This window comes from Homo sapiens, chromosome 9 (genome assembly GCF_000001405.40).
Source record: "Homo sapiens chromosome 9, GRCh38.p14 Primary Assembly".
Taxonomy (NCBI): domain Eukaryota; kingdom Metazoa; phylum Chordata; class Mammalia; order Primates; family Hominidae; genus Homo; species Homo sapiens.
Genome location: NC_000009.12, coordinates 83223955 through 83239976, shown reverse-complemented (window position 1 = coordinate 83239976; position 16022 = coordinate 83223955). Strand labels below are relative to the sequence as shown.

Below are 16022 nucleotides of genomic sequence, written 5' to 3'. Positions count from 1 at the left end.
ATTCTGATGCCAAAACCAAAGACATTACAAGAAAACAAAAGTGCTGACAAATGTATCCTATGACTATAGATGAAAAAAATCCCTAACAACAAAAAAATTACAATTGAACTGAATCCAGCAACATATGGGAAGGATTATATACCTTGATCAAGTGGGATTTATCCCAGGAATGCAAGGTTGTTTAACACATGAAAGTCAATCAGTGAAATATACCATGTTAGTAGAATAAAGGACAGAAATTGCATGATCCTCTCAACAGACGCAGAGAATGCACTTGACAAAATCCAACACTCTTTCACAATTAAAAAAAAATGAACAATGAATAGAAAAAAATATCCTCAATCTAGTAAAGACTGAAAACTCCACAGCTATCATACTTGAATTCAACTGAGGGGCGTAAGACAGAGTGCGAGACTGAGCAAGATTTAGAGCAGGAGTGACAGTTTATTTAAAAGCTTTACAGCAGGAATGACAGGAAGTAAAGTACACTTGGAAGAGGGCCAAGCAGGGGACTTGAGAAATCAAGTGCACTGTTTGACCTTTTAACTTGGGGTTTTATACATTGGCATGCTTCCAGGGTCTTGCATTACTTCTCCCCTGGGTCTTCCCTTGGGCTGAGCTATCTGCATGCACAATGTGGCTGCATGTGCAATATGTTCACTGAAATTGCACACATGCTCACTTGAGGCATTCCCTTACCAGTTTGTAGAGGAAGGTCATGTACCAGTTAAACTCCACCATTTTGTCTCTTATTGTGCATGATTGAGCCCATTTGTCCAACTCCTGAGATCTTTTTGGGAAGCTGCTGATAGCCAGTTTCAGGTTTTTTCTCTCTATTGGGAGATTGTCTCTCCCTGGTGCTGGCTGTGACCGATTATTTTAGAAAGACAGTTAAGAACCGCCTGACCATCACCTGATGTTCGCCTGACATTCCTGGTGTTTCCTGCCCTGTTCATGTCTGACTAGCTACTGACTGTAACAAGACTTGTACATTGTGATCAACAAAACTTCACTGAAAAAAAGAAGACCTAAACAAATGAAAAGACATCACATGTTCGTGGATGGAAAACTTAATATTGTTAAGATAGCAATACTCCTGAAATTGATTTTCAGATTCAAGGCAATCCCTAGCAGATGTCAGCTTCCTGTTTTGTGGAAATTGACAAATTGGTCCTAAAATTTTATATGGAAATGTAAAAGGTACAGACTAACCAAAATAATATTGAAAAAGAACAAAGTTGAAGGACTCGCACTTCCCAATTTCAGAACCTAATGCAAAGCTGCAGTAATCATGACAGTGTGGTACCAACATCAGGATAGACATATACATCCGTAAAATAGAACTGAGAGTCCAGAAACAAAACTATGCATTTGTGAAAAATTGATTGTGAACAAGATGACAAGACAATTCTAAGGGGAAAGAATAGTCTTTTCAACAACTGATATCTAACAGCAAAATCATAAAATTGGACCAATTTCTCACACTGTATACACAAATTAGCACAAAATAAATCAGAGACCTTGTGTTTAATAAAATTTACAAAACTTTTAGAAGAAACATAAGATCAGATCTTTGTAACCTTTGATTAGAGAGGATGGTTTCTAAGGACAGCAAAAGCACTAGAGACAAAATAAAAAATAGGTAAATTAGATAGTAATAGATAAATTTAAAAACTTTTGTGCTTTAAAAGACACTGTCAAGAAAAGTGAAAAGACAAAACACTGAAGGGATGAAAATATTTTTAAATCATACATCCGATAATGAATTTGTACCCATAATACATAAAGAATACTTACAACTCAGTAATAAAAAACATAACCAATTTTTAAAGTAGGAAATGTTATCACAATAGACATTTTGGTAAAGGAAATATGCAAATGGATAGTAAGCACACGAAAAGATGTCCAATATCATTAGTCATTAAAGAAATGCAAATCAGTGCCACATTGAGATTCTACTTTACACCCACAAGAATGGCTATAATAAAAAGACAGGCCACGAAGTGTTGCTGAGGATGTGGATAAATTGAAACCCTCATATATTCCTGGTAAAAATGTAAAATTGTGCAGCTACTAGGCTGGGCGCGGTGGCTCACACCTGTAATTCCAGCACTTTGGGAGGCCGAGGCGGGCAGATCACGAGGTCAGGAGATCGAGATCATCCTGGCTAACACGGTGAAACCCCGTCTCTACTAAAAATACAAAAAATTAGCCGGGCGCTGTGGCGGGCGCCTGTAGTCCCAGCTACTCCGGAGGCTGAGGCAGGAGAATGGCGTGAACCCGGGAGGCAGAGCTTGCAGTGAGCCGAGATCGCGCCACTGCACTCCAACCTGGGCGAAAGAGCGGGACTCCGTCTAAAAAAAAAAAAAATTGTGCAGCTACTTTGGAAAACAGTTTCGTAGTTCTTCAAAAAGTTAAGCATAAGGTTACCATACAAGCCAGCAATTCCACTCTTAGGTATATACTCAAGAGAACAGAAAACATATATTTACACAAAAAAATGGGTAATTTTCATAGCAGCACTTTGCATAATAGCACAGAAGTGGAAACAACCCGTATGTCCATCGGTTCGTAAATTGCATAAACAAATGTAGTGTATCCATTCCATAAAAATGAATGAAGTATTGGTACACGCTACACCATGGATGAACTTTGAAAACATTATGCTAAGTAAAAGAAGCCAAAAGCAAAAGGCCATCTATTGCATGATTTGATTTATATAAAATGTCCAGAATAGGCAAATCTATAGAGACAGAAAGTAGATTAGTGATTTCCACGGGTAGGGAGAATGAAGAATGACTGCTAATAGGTACAGAGTTTCTTTTTTGGGTGATAAAATTTTTCTTTGAATTATGTAGTTGCGATGGTCGCATGACTCTGTGAACAAAGACCAATGAATTTTATGCATTATTTATGGTATGTTAATTATAGCTCAACAAAGCTGTTAGCAAAAATTATATTTGTTGTGGTTCACTATGTTATTTTTTAACATATTTTGTGAGGAGTACGAGTTGAGTAGCTTTATTATAACCAAGAACCTTTCCATTTCTATTTGTCAGCAAGTTTTGTCAGTACTTAATTCTATCAAAATGAAAAATAGATAATGCTGAACCCAGTTTCATTTTAGCGATAAGTAATATTTGTGCATAAAGATTAAATAATTTGATTTATACCATTGATATTTACTTCTAATAAATTTTTAACTTTTGTTCAATAGTTACTTAAGCTATTATGAAATAACTATTAATATTTTCTTATGAACTATGAATATTAATATTTTAATAGATTCTACAAAAACTATTAAAAACAAAAATTTTAATTTTTTTACACAAAATAATTTTGTGCATCATTATTAGTGCTTCTGTAAAAATGACAAAAGGCCAGAGTATAAAATTGCTGCCTAGGAGATACTGATATAAAGATAGAAGTAGCTGGCATATCTGGAACAGAAAGTCGGTGTAATATGATGGCTAAGAGCTCAGGCTCTCCAGCCAGATGGCCTCAGCTCTGGTCTCAGCTTTCCTGCTCTTCTTAGGTGTAACTTTAGGTAACTCATTTGATCTCTTGAATTCTTGGCATCCTCATCTTTAAAATTATGTTTAACTACAGCACTTATCTCAGAGCTGTTATGGAATTTAAAAATAAGTTAGAATTTGCAAATCCCTTAGCAAAGTCTTGGACATGTAGTAACTACTTGAGAAATGCTAGGAGTTAAGGCCCATAATCTGGCACCTCCAGGTCATTCTAGACTCATCGTAACCATTTCACTCTTTGAGGACATCCTGTTCTACTGAAGTAATAGCATCATGGTGGCAATGCATAACAAAATTGGATTTGGAAGTTTCAGAAGATATAACAAGAACCAGAATTTGCTTCTAAAAAACATCTATTTTTCTTCTACATTTATTTATAAACAAAACATCTCGTTGCCTATAACGTGGATACACATCCAAAATAGTAAGACATCAGAAAATAGAATACATCAAAATTCCTTTCAGGAGGAAACTGTGTTTGTAAGAAAGAAATGTTTTTTTCTAAGTTGTTCAAAGTAGGGAGTATATTGCAAATGTATAGTCAAGTTACAAATGCAAGGTCTCCTGATTTCTTTCTCTGCGTGACTTTCTTTTTTCTGGTCCTCTGTCCTGTGCTATTTACCTTTTGATAAATGTTCGATGTGGAAGTTGATTCTCAGAACCCTTGGCACAATAGCCTTGGTTACCCACATCCATTTCAAGAGCTCCTAACAGTTTGGAAACACTGGATCTTGCTTTGGGTGCAGTTGAATCTTCAACCCCTGTGGTGAGACCTATTTCTATGTAGATTAGAAAGAAACAATGATAGCACAGTGATTGCAAAGATGAAGAAACAGGATTTGAATTCATTTAATTTCACCATTCAGTGTGACTCAATCACAATTTAAAAATTTTTTAATTTAAAATTTAAAATGTTTGCCAACTATGAAGTGTAATATTTTTGTTTTATAAGTGCAAATTTTATTTCATACATATTTTCTGAATATGATAACATTTTAAAATTGCAATGTATTCTTTTTAATTGTTAATTATTTGTCTTCAAACAAAAGAACAAATAAGAAAACAAAATCTCACATTAGTAATTGCCTAAATTAGGTCGGGCGCAGTGGCTCATGCCTGTAATCCCAGCACTTTTGGAGGCCGAGGTGGGAGCATGGCTTGAGCTCAGGAGTTTGAGATCAGCCTGCGCATCATAGCAAGAGTCCATCTCATTTAAAAAAATTTAAAATGTAATTGCCTAAACTATACTTCTGCAGACATTTTAGTTTTATTTAAACCTAGTTATTGGACTGTCATTTACGTAAATATTAATATATCAGACTGTAACCAAAGGATCAAAGTTCAGCCATTTAGGTGGATATAAAAATTAATAAAAAATAGTTGTAGGCATTTCCTTTTATTTTAGAAACTTATATAATTATATATAAGATTATACATAGTTTAATAGAACATTTTCACTGCTTTGTTTTTCTGAGCATTATTTGTGTATATATATAATCCATAATTATGTATGATATTGTCAATTACACGTATTATAAAGACATAATTATCATCATACTCATGGCCATTATTGAAAATAATTTTGTTGTATAGAGAAGGGAGGTGTTAAAAAATGACTCCTCCGGGTGTCACATATATTAGATATTCCACAGGACACAGTCTTGATATCAGCATGGTTCCTGAGAAGATTGGAAAGCTTGGAGTAGGGTCAAACAGTGACTCAGCGACTGATAGAATTGGCATAGAGTCAGAGTGGGGGAGTCAAGTTTGATTTTTAAATGCCTAGTTTGGGTGAGTGGGAAAAGACAATGTCATTAGCCAGGCTCAGTTCCAATAGAGCCAGTGTTTTTTATTTATAATTATTTTTTTTAAAATTTTAATTAAAAAATACTGTTTTGGTACAAAGATAATGAGTTAGACTTGGATCTAGTGAGCCTGAAGTACCTGTGGGATGTTTAGTTGGTCTAGAAACTCAGGTGTGAAGTTAGGGCTGGATTCTGGATTATATGCATTTGAATTATAGGTGCTACTAAAAAAACACTGGCTGGATAGCATCAATTGCAGGGAAAATGTTTTAGGGCATAATGAAGAGAGATATTCAAGGATACCTTAAGGAAAAGAGATTTTAAAAGTGAGAGAGATGGTCCTTTTATCTTTTTCTGTTTCCTCTCTTTTTGCCACACTCTACACAGACACAAAGCAACAGCTATTTTATCTTTAAAATAGAGAATCAAGATGGAAATCAAGAAAATACAGAGGGATTTCTTTGCACTAAGACTCAGTTTCCAGAAGCAGAAGAGACTCAGTTTCAGAAAGCATTATGACTCGTTTTTAGGGAGTCAAGAAACTTCTCTTTCTTACGTTTAGGTTCATAGTCAAAGAAAGGCTGGATCCCTAAAGAGAATAAGTCAAAAGTTAAGAACAACAGTAAAGGCTGGATCCCTAAAGGGAGTAAGTCAAAAGTTAAGAACAACAGTAACATAAAAAGGCTGTCCTGAGCTTTTGCTATCATGCATATCCTTACAGGGCTCATCTGGAAGGCCCATTTGAGTATAACAGGGATGCTTTCTGGAGATCAGGTTGTTCCAGGTCAGCTGGCACCGGATTCCTGCTGCAGGGCTCCTCCTCTTAGCAACAGGCACATCTTTTAGCCTGCAGAGATGGTCCAGAGTTGCAGAGACTCAAAGCACAAATGTCCTGAGAGACAGTTACCCGGCAGTCAGTGTCACTGTGTGAAAATGAGTGAAAAGTACAAACAAAACAGATCAGAAGCTGGGCTACTGATCTCTCTCTCTTTCTCTCTCTCTCTCTCTCTCTCTCCATATATATATATATATATTCCCCATTGGGTGTAAAACATGTAACAGTGAATAAGCAGATAAAAATCCTAGCTATCATGGAGCTTAAATTCTAGTGGGAGGATACAGACAGTAACTAAATAAGAAATTCCTAAGAAAAGCATTACATAAAAAATACACAAGAAAAGTATCAGATAGTGATAAATGCAAAAGAGAAATAATAAGTGAGGATGGGGAAAAGAAGTGCTGGGGCATGTGATTGGGGAGGCCTCTCTTTTTCAGTGAGGTAGAGACCATGATTCTAAGTAAAATAACTCAGAAACAGAAAATCAAATACTGTATGTTCTCATTTGTAAATGGGAGCTAAACAATGGGTACATATGGACATAAAGTTGTAAACAATAGACACTGGGGATTCCAAAATGGGGGATGCCAGAAGTCAGGGGTGAGGGTTGAAAAATAACCTTGGGGGTGCGGGAGTTAACTGTGTGGGCATGTGGAGGATTGGCATCCAGGGTTGAGGGGGAGCATGATGGAATGCCTGAAGAACAGAAAGGGGCCATTGTGGACCGAACGCACAGGACAGCCCTCCTGGGCACAGAGTATGGAACAGCAGGAGGGAGCCCTAACAGAGGCAGAATGGACATCGGTGGTACTGGGGAAGCTGCAATAGCCAGATAGGCCTTCTGTCCACAGAGTAAGGGTCAATTAGGTAGTGGATTATGTGGGTAGGGGGGCAGAGAAGCCTTGTGCCCTCCAGTTTTCAGATCTATCCACTGGGACGCTGCTGCAGACCTTACCTGCTCTGGCCTTTAAATTGAGCTGCAGAGGAGAGGGGGAGTGGGGGTGGCAGAGCTATCTGAAGGAGGGGAGGAAGGCCCAAGCTAGGGCAGTAGTGGGGCAGGGACATACCAGTGATTCCTATTCCAGTGGCCGCCATGCTGCTGAGCATGTGGTCAGGATTGTTGGTAGAAGGCTAACCTGGGTCTCAGAGATTCAGTCAACTATGGGGCCTAGGAAAGATATTCTATAAAGGTGTCCCTGCCTTGAACAAGGAGCTTGGTAAACATATTCTTCGGTGGAGGAAGTGATTTTAAGCAGAAGGAATTATAGGGAAGGTTTTGGAAAAGGGAATGTACCAAAGGAGGGAATTTAGGGGGATAGAGAGCATAGTCAAATTTAGCTTCTGTGTCTTCCAGTGTGAGTTGGTTCCCATGAGTTGGAGAAGTGATATAGAAGACCATAGAATAGAAAACATAGCCAAGGCCATCTTCAAATATTTTTCCCTATTGGCACTTTTTCAGAGGGTTCAATCAGCCCTAAAACTTCCTTCCTCTTCCATGGGATAGTTTCTCCGGACTGTGCTAAGTCTTCCTGAAGTGGAATGTTCTTTGCCTTTCTGTTTTTCTCTCTTTCTATGTATGTGTGTACAGATACACACACACACACACACACACACACACACACACACAAAAGGCCAGACATTTCTATAACTTATTCTCTAAAATTCACTTCATTTGGGTCTTTCATTACAAAAAAGGCTCTGCCTTCTTTCCAATTAAAACAATTGATGATGAAAAGAATCCAGATCCATGGCAGTAGGCTTGATAAAGAATTGGTAAAGAAAGTTACAAAGAGCAAAATAAAAACCACCCATAATCTTACTCCCCAGGAATAACCAATGCTAACTTTGGATTTTAATTTTTCAGAATTGGAATAATGCTAAGTCCTTCAATGTGGGGCAGAAGGACTAAGCAGAGGGTCTCTCAGAGTGTTCTGCTTTATAGTTTTTCACAATGAAAATACACCTATCTGTCTTGATCCCAGGCTTTCTGCTGCTACCAAATGCCTACCTCTAACATCCCCTATGGCAGGAGAGGCTCTCATTTTAGGAAGACCCTATTTACTCTGGCACATGACTTCTCCATTCTACTATTTTATGTATCCTAGTTGGCTGCAAGCATCCAATTCTTCTGACGCACAGCCTCAGAATCTTGTCCCTGGGACCCAGCTGTTGGCCATCCCATTGGCCTCTTGGTGTGGCCCGTTGCTTTAGTTCCAACTGCAACAAAAGTCAGTTTCTCTTTTCAACTGCTGATTTTTGGCTTCTCTAAACAGCATGCCCATCATGTCTTGGGCCCCTAGCCCACAGGTCCTGCCAAAGGATTAAGTTTCCAAAAGTTTGGCTTGTTGTGTCCAGATCAAATTTAAGTTGGGTGCAAATTGCTCCCTTCATGGGAGTCCACATGGACTGCTCTACTCCTCCACCAGCAGCAGATCATCTAAATCCTTTTGCAGACATGCTAATTCTAGCTTGAAGGAAAGAGTCTACGTTCCTCCAGGGGGAGCTCCATAAATAGCTCCAAGGACAAGAGAAAGGCATGTGCCCTATCTTCCTCCAGGGGGAGCTCCATAAATAGCTCCAAGGACAAGAGAAAGGCATGTGCCCTATCTTCTTCTTAGACATTACTTTCTATTTAAGTAGGACTGGCTCCCTTTGATCTCTGCCTCTTTGCTTGCATACAGGTTTCCTTTACAGACATGCTTCATTCCACTGTGCTCTGCTTTATTGTGCTTTGCAGATATTGTTGTTTTTTACTTTGAAGGCACACCCTGCGTCAATAAGTCTGTCGGCGCCATTTTTCCAATAGCATGTGCTCACTTGGTGTCTTTGTGTCACATTTTGGTAATTCTCACAATATTTCAAATTTTCTCATTAGTATTGTATCTGTTATGGTTGTCTGTGATCGATGATCTTCGATGTTCCATTGTAGTTGTTTTGGGGAACCACGAACCAAACCCCCAGAAGACAGTGAACTTAATTAGTAAATGTTGTATGTGTCTTGACTGCCTCACTGACCAGCTGCCAGCTGTTCCCCCATCTTTCTCCTTTGCCCCAGGCCTCCCTATTCCCTGAGATACAGCAATATTGAAATTAGGCCAAGTAATTACCCTACAATGGCCTCTCTAAGTGTTCAAGTGTAAGGAAGAGTTACACATCTCTCACTTTAAAACAAAAGCTAGAAATGATTAGGCCTAGTGGTGAAGACATGTTGAAAACTGAGATAGGCCAATAGCTAGGCCTCTTGCACCAGTTAGCCAAGTTGTGAATGCACAGAAAAAGTTCTTAAAGAAAATTGCAAGTGCTACTCCAGTGAACATACTAATGATAAGAAAGCAAAACAGCCTTACTGCTGAGATGGAAAAAGTTTTAGTGTTTTGGATAGAAGGTCAAACCAGCCACAACATTCCCTTAAGCCAAAACCTGATCCAGAGCAAGGACCTAGATCTTCAAGTCTATGAAGGCTGAGAGGGGCGCAGAAGCTGAAGAAGAAAAGTTGAAAACTAACAATGGTTTGATTCATGAAGTTGAAGAAGCCGCCTCCATAACATAAATGTGCAAGGTGAAGCAGCAAGTGTTATTGATCTCTAGCTAAGGTCATTGATGAAGGTGGCTACACTAAACAACCAATTTTCAATGTAGACAAAACAGTCATCTATTGGAAGAAGATGCCATCTAGAACTTTCACAGGTAGAGAGGAGAAATCAATACCTGATTTCAAACCTTCAGAGGACAGGCTGACTCTCTTGTTAGGGGCTAATGCAGCTGGTGACCTTAAGTTGAATCCAATGTCTGTTTACCATTTAGAAAATCCTTAGAGCCCTTAAGAATTATGCTAAATTTGCTCTGCCTGTGCTTTATAAATGGAACAACAAAGCCTGGATGAGAGCACATCTGTTTTCATCATGTCTCACTGAATATTTTAAGCACACGGTTGAGACCTACTGCTCAGAAAAGAAGATTTCTTTAAAAAATATTACTGTTAATTGACAATGCACTTGGTCGCCCAAGAGCTCTGATGGAGATGTACAAGGAGATCAGTGTTGTTTTCTTGCCTGCTAACATCACATCCATTCTGTAGCCCATTGATTAAGGAGTAATTTTGAATTCCAAGTCTTATTATTTAATAAATAAACTTTGGAAGGCTATAGTTTCCATGGATAGTGATTCCACTGATGGATCTGGATAAATGGAAAAGCTTCTGGAAAGGATTTACCATTCTAGATGCCACTGAGAATATTTATGTTCATCAATAGCAAAGTCATGGAATCAACCTAAGTGTCCATCAATGTTTGATTGGATAAAGAAAATGTGGTATATAGAAACCATGGAATACTATACAGCTTTCTAAAAGAATGAACTTATGCCCTTTGCAGCAACATGGATGGAGCTGGAGGCCATTATCCTAGGTGAAATAACTCAGAAACAGAAAATCAAATACTGTGTCTTCTCACTTACAAGTGGGAGCTAAACAATGGGTACACATGCACATAAATTTGGAAACAACAAACACTAGGGTTTCCAAAATGGGGGAGGGTGGAAGAGGGGTTGGTGAGGGTTGATTTCATGGGTTATACCTATTGAGTAGAATGTTCAATATTTGGGTGATTTGTTCACTTGAAGCCCAAACTTCACCATTATACAATATATCCATGTAACAAACCTACACATGTACCCCTGAATCTAAAATAAAAATAATAACAAAAATGAACATTGTGACTCATGAAAGGAGATCAAATTGTCAACATTAACATAAATTTGGAAGACGTGGATTCCAATCATCCTGAATGACTTTGAGTTCAAGACTTCAGCGGGGACAAGCACTGCAGATGCGTTAGAAATAGCGAGGAAATGAAGATGGCCGAATAGGAACAGCTCCGGTCTACAGCTCCCAGCGTGAGCGACGCAGAAGAAGGGTGATTTCTGCATTTCCATCTGAGGTACCGGGTTCATCTCACTAGGGAGTGCCAGACAGTGGGCGCAGGTCAGTGGGTGCGCGCACCGTGCGTGAGCCGAAGCAGGGCGAGGCATTGCCTCACTTGGGAAGCGCAAGGGGTCAGGGAGTTCCCTTTCCGAGTCAAAGAAAGGGGTGACGGACGGCACCTGGAAAATCGGGTCGCTCCCACCTGAATACTGTGCTTTTCTGACCGGCTTAAAAAACAGCGCACCATGAGATTATATCCGGCACCTGGCTCGGAGGGTCCTACGCCCACGGAGTCTCGCTGATTGCTAGCACAGCAGTCTGAGATCAAACTGCAAGGTGGCAGCGAGGCTGGGGGAGGGGCGCCTGCCATTGCCCAGGCTTGCTCAGGTAAACAAAGCAGCTGGGAAGCTGGAACTGGGTGGAGCCCACCACAGCTCAAGGAGGCCTGCCTCCCTCTGTAGGCTCCACCTCTGGGGGCAGGGCACAGACAAACAAAAAGACAGCAGTAACCTCTGCAGACTTAAATGTCCCTGTCTGACAGCTTTGAAGAGAGCCATGGGTCTCCCAGCACGCAGCTGGAGATCTGAGAACCGGCAGACTGCCTCCTCAAGTGGGTCCCTGACCCCTGACCCCCGAGCAGCCTAACTGGGAGGCACCCCCCAGCAGGGGCACACTGACACCTCACAGGGCAGGGTATTCCAACAGACCTGCAGCTGAGGGTCCTGTCTGTTAGAAGGAAAACTAACAAACAGAAAGGACATCCACACCGAAAACCCATCTGTACATCACCATCATCAAAGACCAAAAGTAGATAAAACCGCAAAGATGGGGAAAAAACAGAACAGAAAAACTGGAAACTCTAAAAAGCAGAGCACCTCTCCTCCTCCAAAGGAACGCAGTTCCTCACCAGCAAGGGAACAAAGCTGGATGGAGAATGACTTGGACGAGCTGAGAGAAGAAGGCTTCAGACGATCAAATTACTCTGAGCTACGGGAGGACATTCAGACCAAAGGCAAAGAAGTTGACAACTTTGAAAAAAATCTAGAAGAATGTATAACTAGAATAACCAATACAGAGAAGTGCTTAAAGGAGCTGATGGAGCTGAAAACCGAGGCTCGAGAACTATGTGAAGAATGCAGAAGCCTCAGGAGCTGATGCGATCAACTGGAAGAAAGGGTACCAGCAATGGAAGATGAAATGAATGAAATGAAGCGAGAAGGGAAGTTTAGAGAAAAAAGAATAAAAAGAAATGAGCAAAGCCTCCAAGAAATATGGGACTATGTGAAAAGACCAAATCTACGTCTGATTGGTGTACCTGAAAGTGATGGGGAGAATGGAACCAAGTTGGAAAACACTCTGCAGGATATTATCCAGGAGAACTTCCCCAATCTAGCAAGGCAGGCCAATGTTCAGATTCAGGAAATACAGAGAACACCACAAAGATACTCCTTGAGAAGAGCAACTCCAAGACACATAATTGTCAGATTCACCAAAGTAGAAATGAAGGAAAAAATGTTAAGGGCAGCCAGAGAGAAAGGTCGGATTACCCTCAAAGGGAAGCCCATCAGACTAACAGCGGATCTCTCAGCAGAAACCCTACAAGCCAGAAGAGAGTGGGGGCCAATATTCAACATTCTTAAAGACAAGAATTTTCACCCCAGAATTTCATATCCAGCCAAACTAAGCTTCATAAGTGAAGGAGAAATAAAATACTTTACAGACAAGCAAATGCTGAGAGATTTTGTCACCACCAGGCCTGCCCTAAAAGAGTTGCTGAAGGAAGCTCTAAACATGGAAAGGAACAACCAGTATCAGCCACTGCAAAATCATGCCAAAATGTAAAGACCATCGAGACTAGGAAGAAACTGCATCAACTAACAAGCAAAATAACCAGCTAACATCATAATGACAGGATCAGATTCACACATAACAATATTAACTTTAAATGGAAATGGACTAAATGCTCCAATTAAAAGACACAGACTGGCAAATTGGATAAAGAGTCAAGACCCATCAGTGTGCTGTATTCAGGAAACCCATCTCACGTGCAGAGACACACATAGGCTCAAAATAAAAGGATGGAGGAAGATCTACCAAGCAAATGGAAAACAAAAAAAGGCAGGGGTTGCAATCCTAGTCTCTGATAAAACAGACTTTAAACCAACAAAGATCAAAAGAGACAAAGAAGGCCATTACATAATGGTAAAGGGATCAATTCAACAACAAGAGCTAACTATCCTAAATATATATGCACCCAATACAGGAGCACCCAGATTCATAAAGCAAGTCCTGAGTGACCTACAAAGAGACTTAGACTCCCACACATTAATAATGGGAGACTTTAACACCCCACTGTCAACATTAGACAGATCAACGAGACAGAAAGTCAATAAGGATACCCAGGAATTGAACTCAGCTCTGCACCAAGCAGACCTAATAGACATCTACAGAACTCTCCACCCCAAATCAACAGAATATACATTTTTTTCAGCACCACACCACACCTATTCCAAAATTGACCACATACTTGGAAGTAAAGCTCTCCTCAGCAAATGTAAAAGAACAGAGATTATAACAAACTATCTCTCAGACCACAGTGCAATCAAACTAGAACTCAGGATTAAGAATCTCACTCAAAACCGCTCAACTACATGGAAACTGAACAACCTGCTCCTGAATGACTACTGGGTACATAACGAAATGAAGGCAGAAATAAAGATGTTCTTTGAAACCAACGAGAACAAAGGCACAACATACCAGAATCTCTGGGACGCATTCAAAGCAGTGTGTAGAGGGAAATTTATAGCACTAAATGCCCACAAGAGAAAGCAGGAAAGATCCAAAATTGACACCCTAACATCACCATTAAAAGAACTAGAAAAGCAAGAGCAAACACATTCAAAAGCTAGCAGAAGGCAAGAAATAACTAAAATCAGAGCAGAACTGAAGGAAATAGAGACACAAAAAACCCTTCAAAAAATTAATGAATCCAGGAGCTGGTTTTTTGAAAGGATCAACAAAATTGATAGACCGCTAGCAAGACTAATAAAGAAAAAAGAGAGAAGAATCAAATAGACACAATAAAAAATGATAAAGGGGATATCACCACCAATCCCACAGAAATACAAACTACCATCAGAGAATACTACAAACACCTCCGCGCAAATAAACTAGAAAATCTAGAAGAAATGGATAAATTCCTCGACACATACACTCTCCCAAGACTAAACCACGAAGAAGTTGAATCTCTGAATAGACCAATAACAGGAGCTGAAATTGTGGCAATAATCAATAGTTTACCAACCAAAAAGAGTCCAGGACCAGATGGATTCACAGCCGAATTCTACCGGAGGTACAAGGAGGAACTGGTACCATTCCTTCTGAAACTATTCCAATCAACAGAAAAAGAAGGAATCCTCCCTAACTCATTTTATGAGGCCAGCATCATTCTGATACCAAAGCCGGGCAGAGACACAACCAAAAAAGAGAATTTTAGACCAATATCCTTGATGAACATTGATGCAAAAATCCTCAATAAAATACTGGCAAAACGAATCCAGCAGCACACCAAAAAGCTTATCCACCATGATCAAGTGGGCTTCATCCCTGGGATGCAAGGCTGGTTCAATATACGCAAATCAATAAATGTACCAGCATATAAACAGAGCCAAAGACAAAAACCACATGATTATCTCAATAGATGCAGAAAAAGCCTTTGACAAAATTCAACAACGCTTCATGCTAAAAACTCTCAATAAATTAGGTATTGATGGGATGTATTTCAAAGTAATAAGAGCTATCTATGACAAACCCACAGCCAATATCATACTGAATGGGCAAAAACTGGAAGCATTCCCTTTGAAAACTGGCACAAGACAGGGATGCCCTCTCTCACCACTCCTATTCAACATAGTGTTGGAAGTTCTGGCCAGGGCAATTAGTCAGGAGAAGGAAATAAAGGGTATTCAATTAGAAAAAGAGGAAGTCAAATTGTCCCTGTTTGCAGACGACATGATTGTTTATCTAGAAAACCCCATTGTCTCAGCCCAAAATCTCCTTAAGCTGATAAGCAACTTCAGCAAAGTCTCAGGATACAAAATCAATGTACAAAAATCACAAGCATTCTTATACACCAACAACAGACAAACAGAGAGCCAAATCATGAGTGAACTCCCATTCACAATTGCTTCAAAGAGAATAAAATACCTAGGAATCCAACTTACAAGGGATGTGAAGGACCTCTTCAAGGAGAACTACAAACCACTGCTCAAGGAAATAAAAGAGGATACAAACAAACGGAAGAACATTCCATGCTTATGGGTAGGAAGAGTCAATATCGTGAAAATGGCCATACTGCCCAAGGTAATTTACAGATTCAATGCCATCCCCATCAAGCTACCAATGCCTTTCTTCACAGAATTGGAAACAACTATTTTAAAGTTCATATGGAACCAAAAAAGAGCCCGCACCGCCAAGTCAATCCTAAGCCAAAAGAACAAAGCTGGAGGCATCACACTACCTGACTTCAAACTATACTACAAGGCTACAGTAACCAAAACAGCATGGTACTGGTACCAAAACAGAGATATAGATCAATGGAACAGAACAGAGCCCTCAGAAAGAACGCCACATATCTACAACTATCTGATCTTTGACAAACCTGTGAAAAACAAGCAATGGGGAAAGGATTCCCTATTTAATAAATGGTGCTGGGAAAACTGGCTAGCCATATGTAGAAAGCTGAAACTGGATCCCTTCCTTACACCTTATACAAAAATCAATTCAAGGTGGATTAAAGACTTAAACGTTAGACCTAAAACCATAAAAACCCTAGAAGAAAACCTAGGCATTACCATTCAGGACATAGGCATGGGTAAGGACTTCATGTCTAAAATACCAAAAGCAATGGCAACAAAAGACAAAAT

General features: G+C 39.7%; 1 long non-coding RNA gene across 2 annotated transcripts in view, besides 1 other annotated feature; it reads right to left on the bottom strand.

Annotated features, from left to right (window-relative positions):
- Positions 1 to 16022, bottom strand: part of FRMD3-AS1 (FRMD3 antisense RNA 1) — a 51489-nt gene that overhangs the window by 30857 nt on the left and 4610 nt on the right. Inside the window, exon 2 of one of the 2 annotated variants that reach the window (NR_184120.1) lies at positions 6058 to 6261. This is a non-coding gene — a long non-coding RNA (FRMD3 antisense RNA 1). Of the gene's footprint in view, positions 1 to 4913; positions 6262 to 16022 lie in introns of those variants that run through there. The other variant, NR_184121.1, reaches the window with a different exon arrangement.
- Positions 11508 to 12209: an enhancer, noted in NCBI's record as "NANOG-H3K27ac-H3K4me1 hESC enhancer chr9:85842683-85843384 (GRCh37/hg19 assembly coordinates)". NCBI's record gives its function as "activates a minimal SCP1, AML or CMV promoter by ChIP-STARR-seq in primed H9 embryonic stem cells {active_cell/tissue: H9 hESC(primed)}" and the evidence as "EXISTENCE:reporter gene assay evidence [ECO:0000049][PMID:30033119]".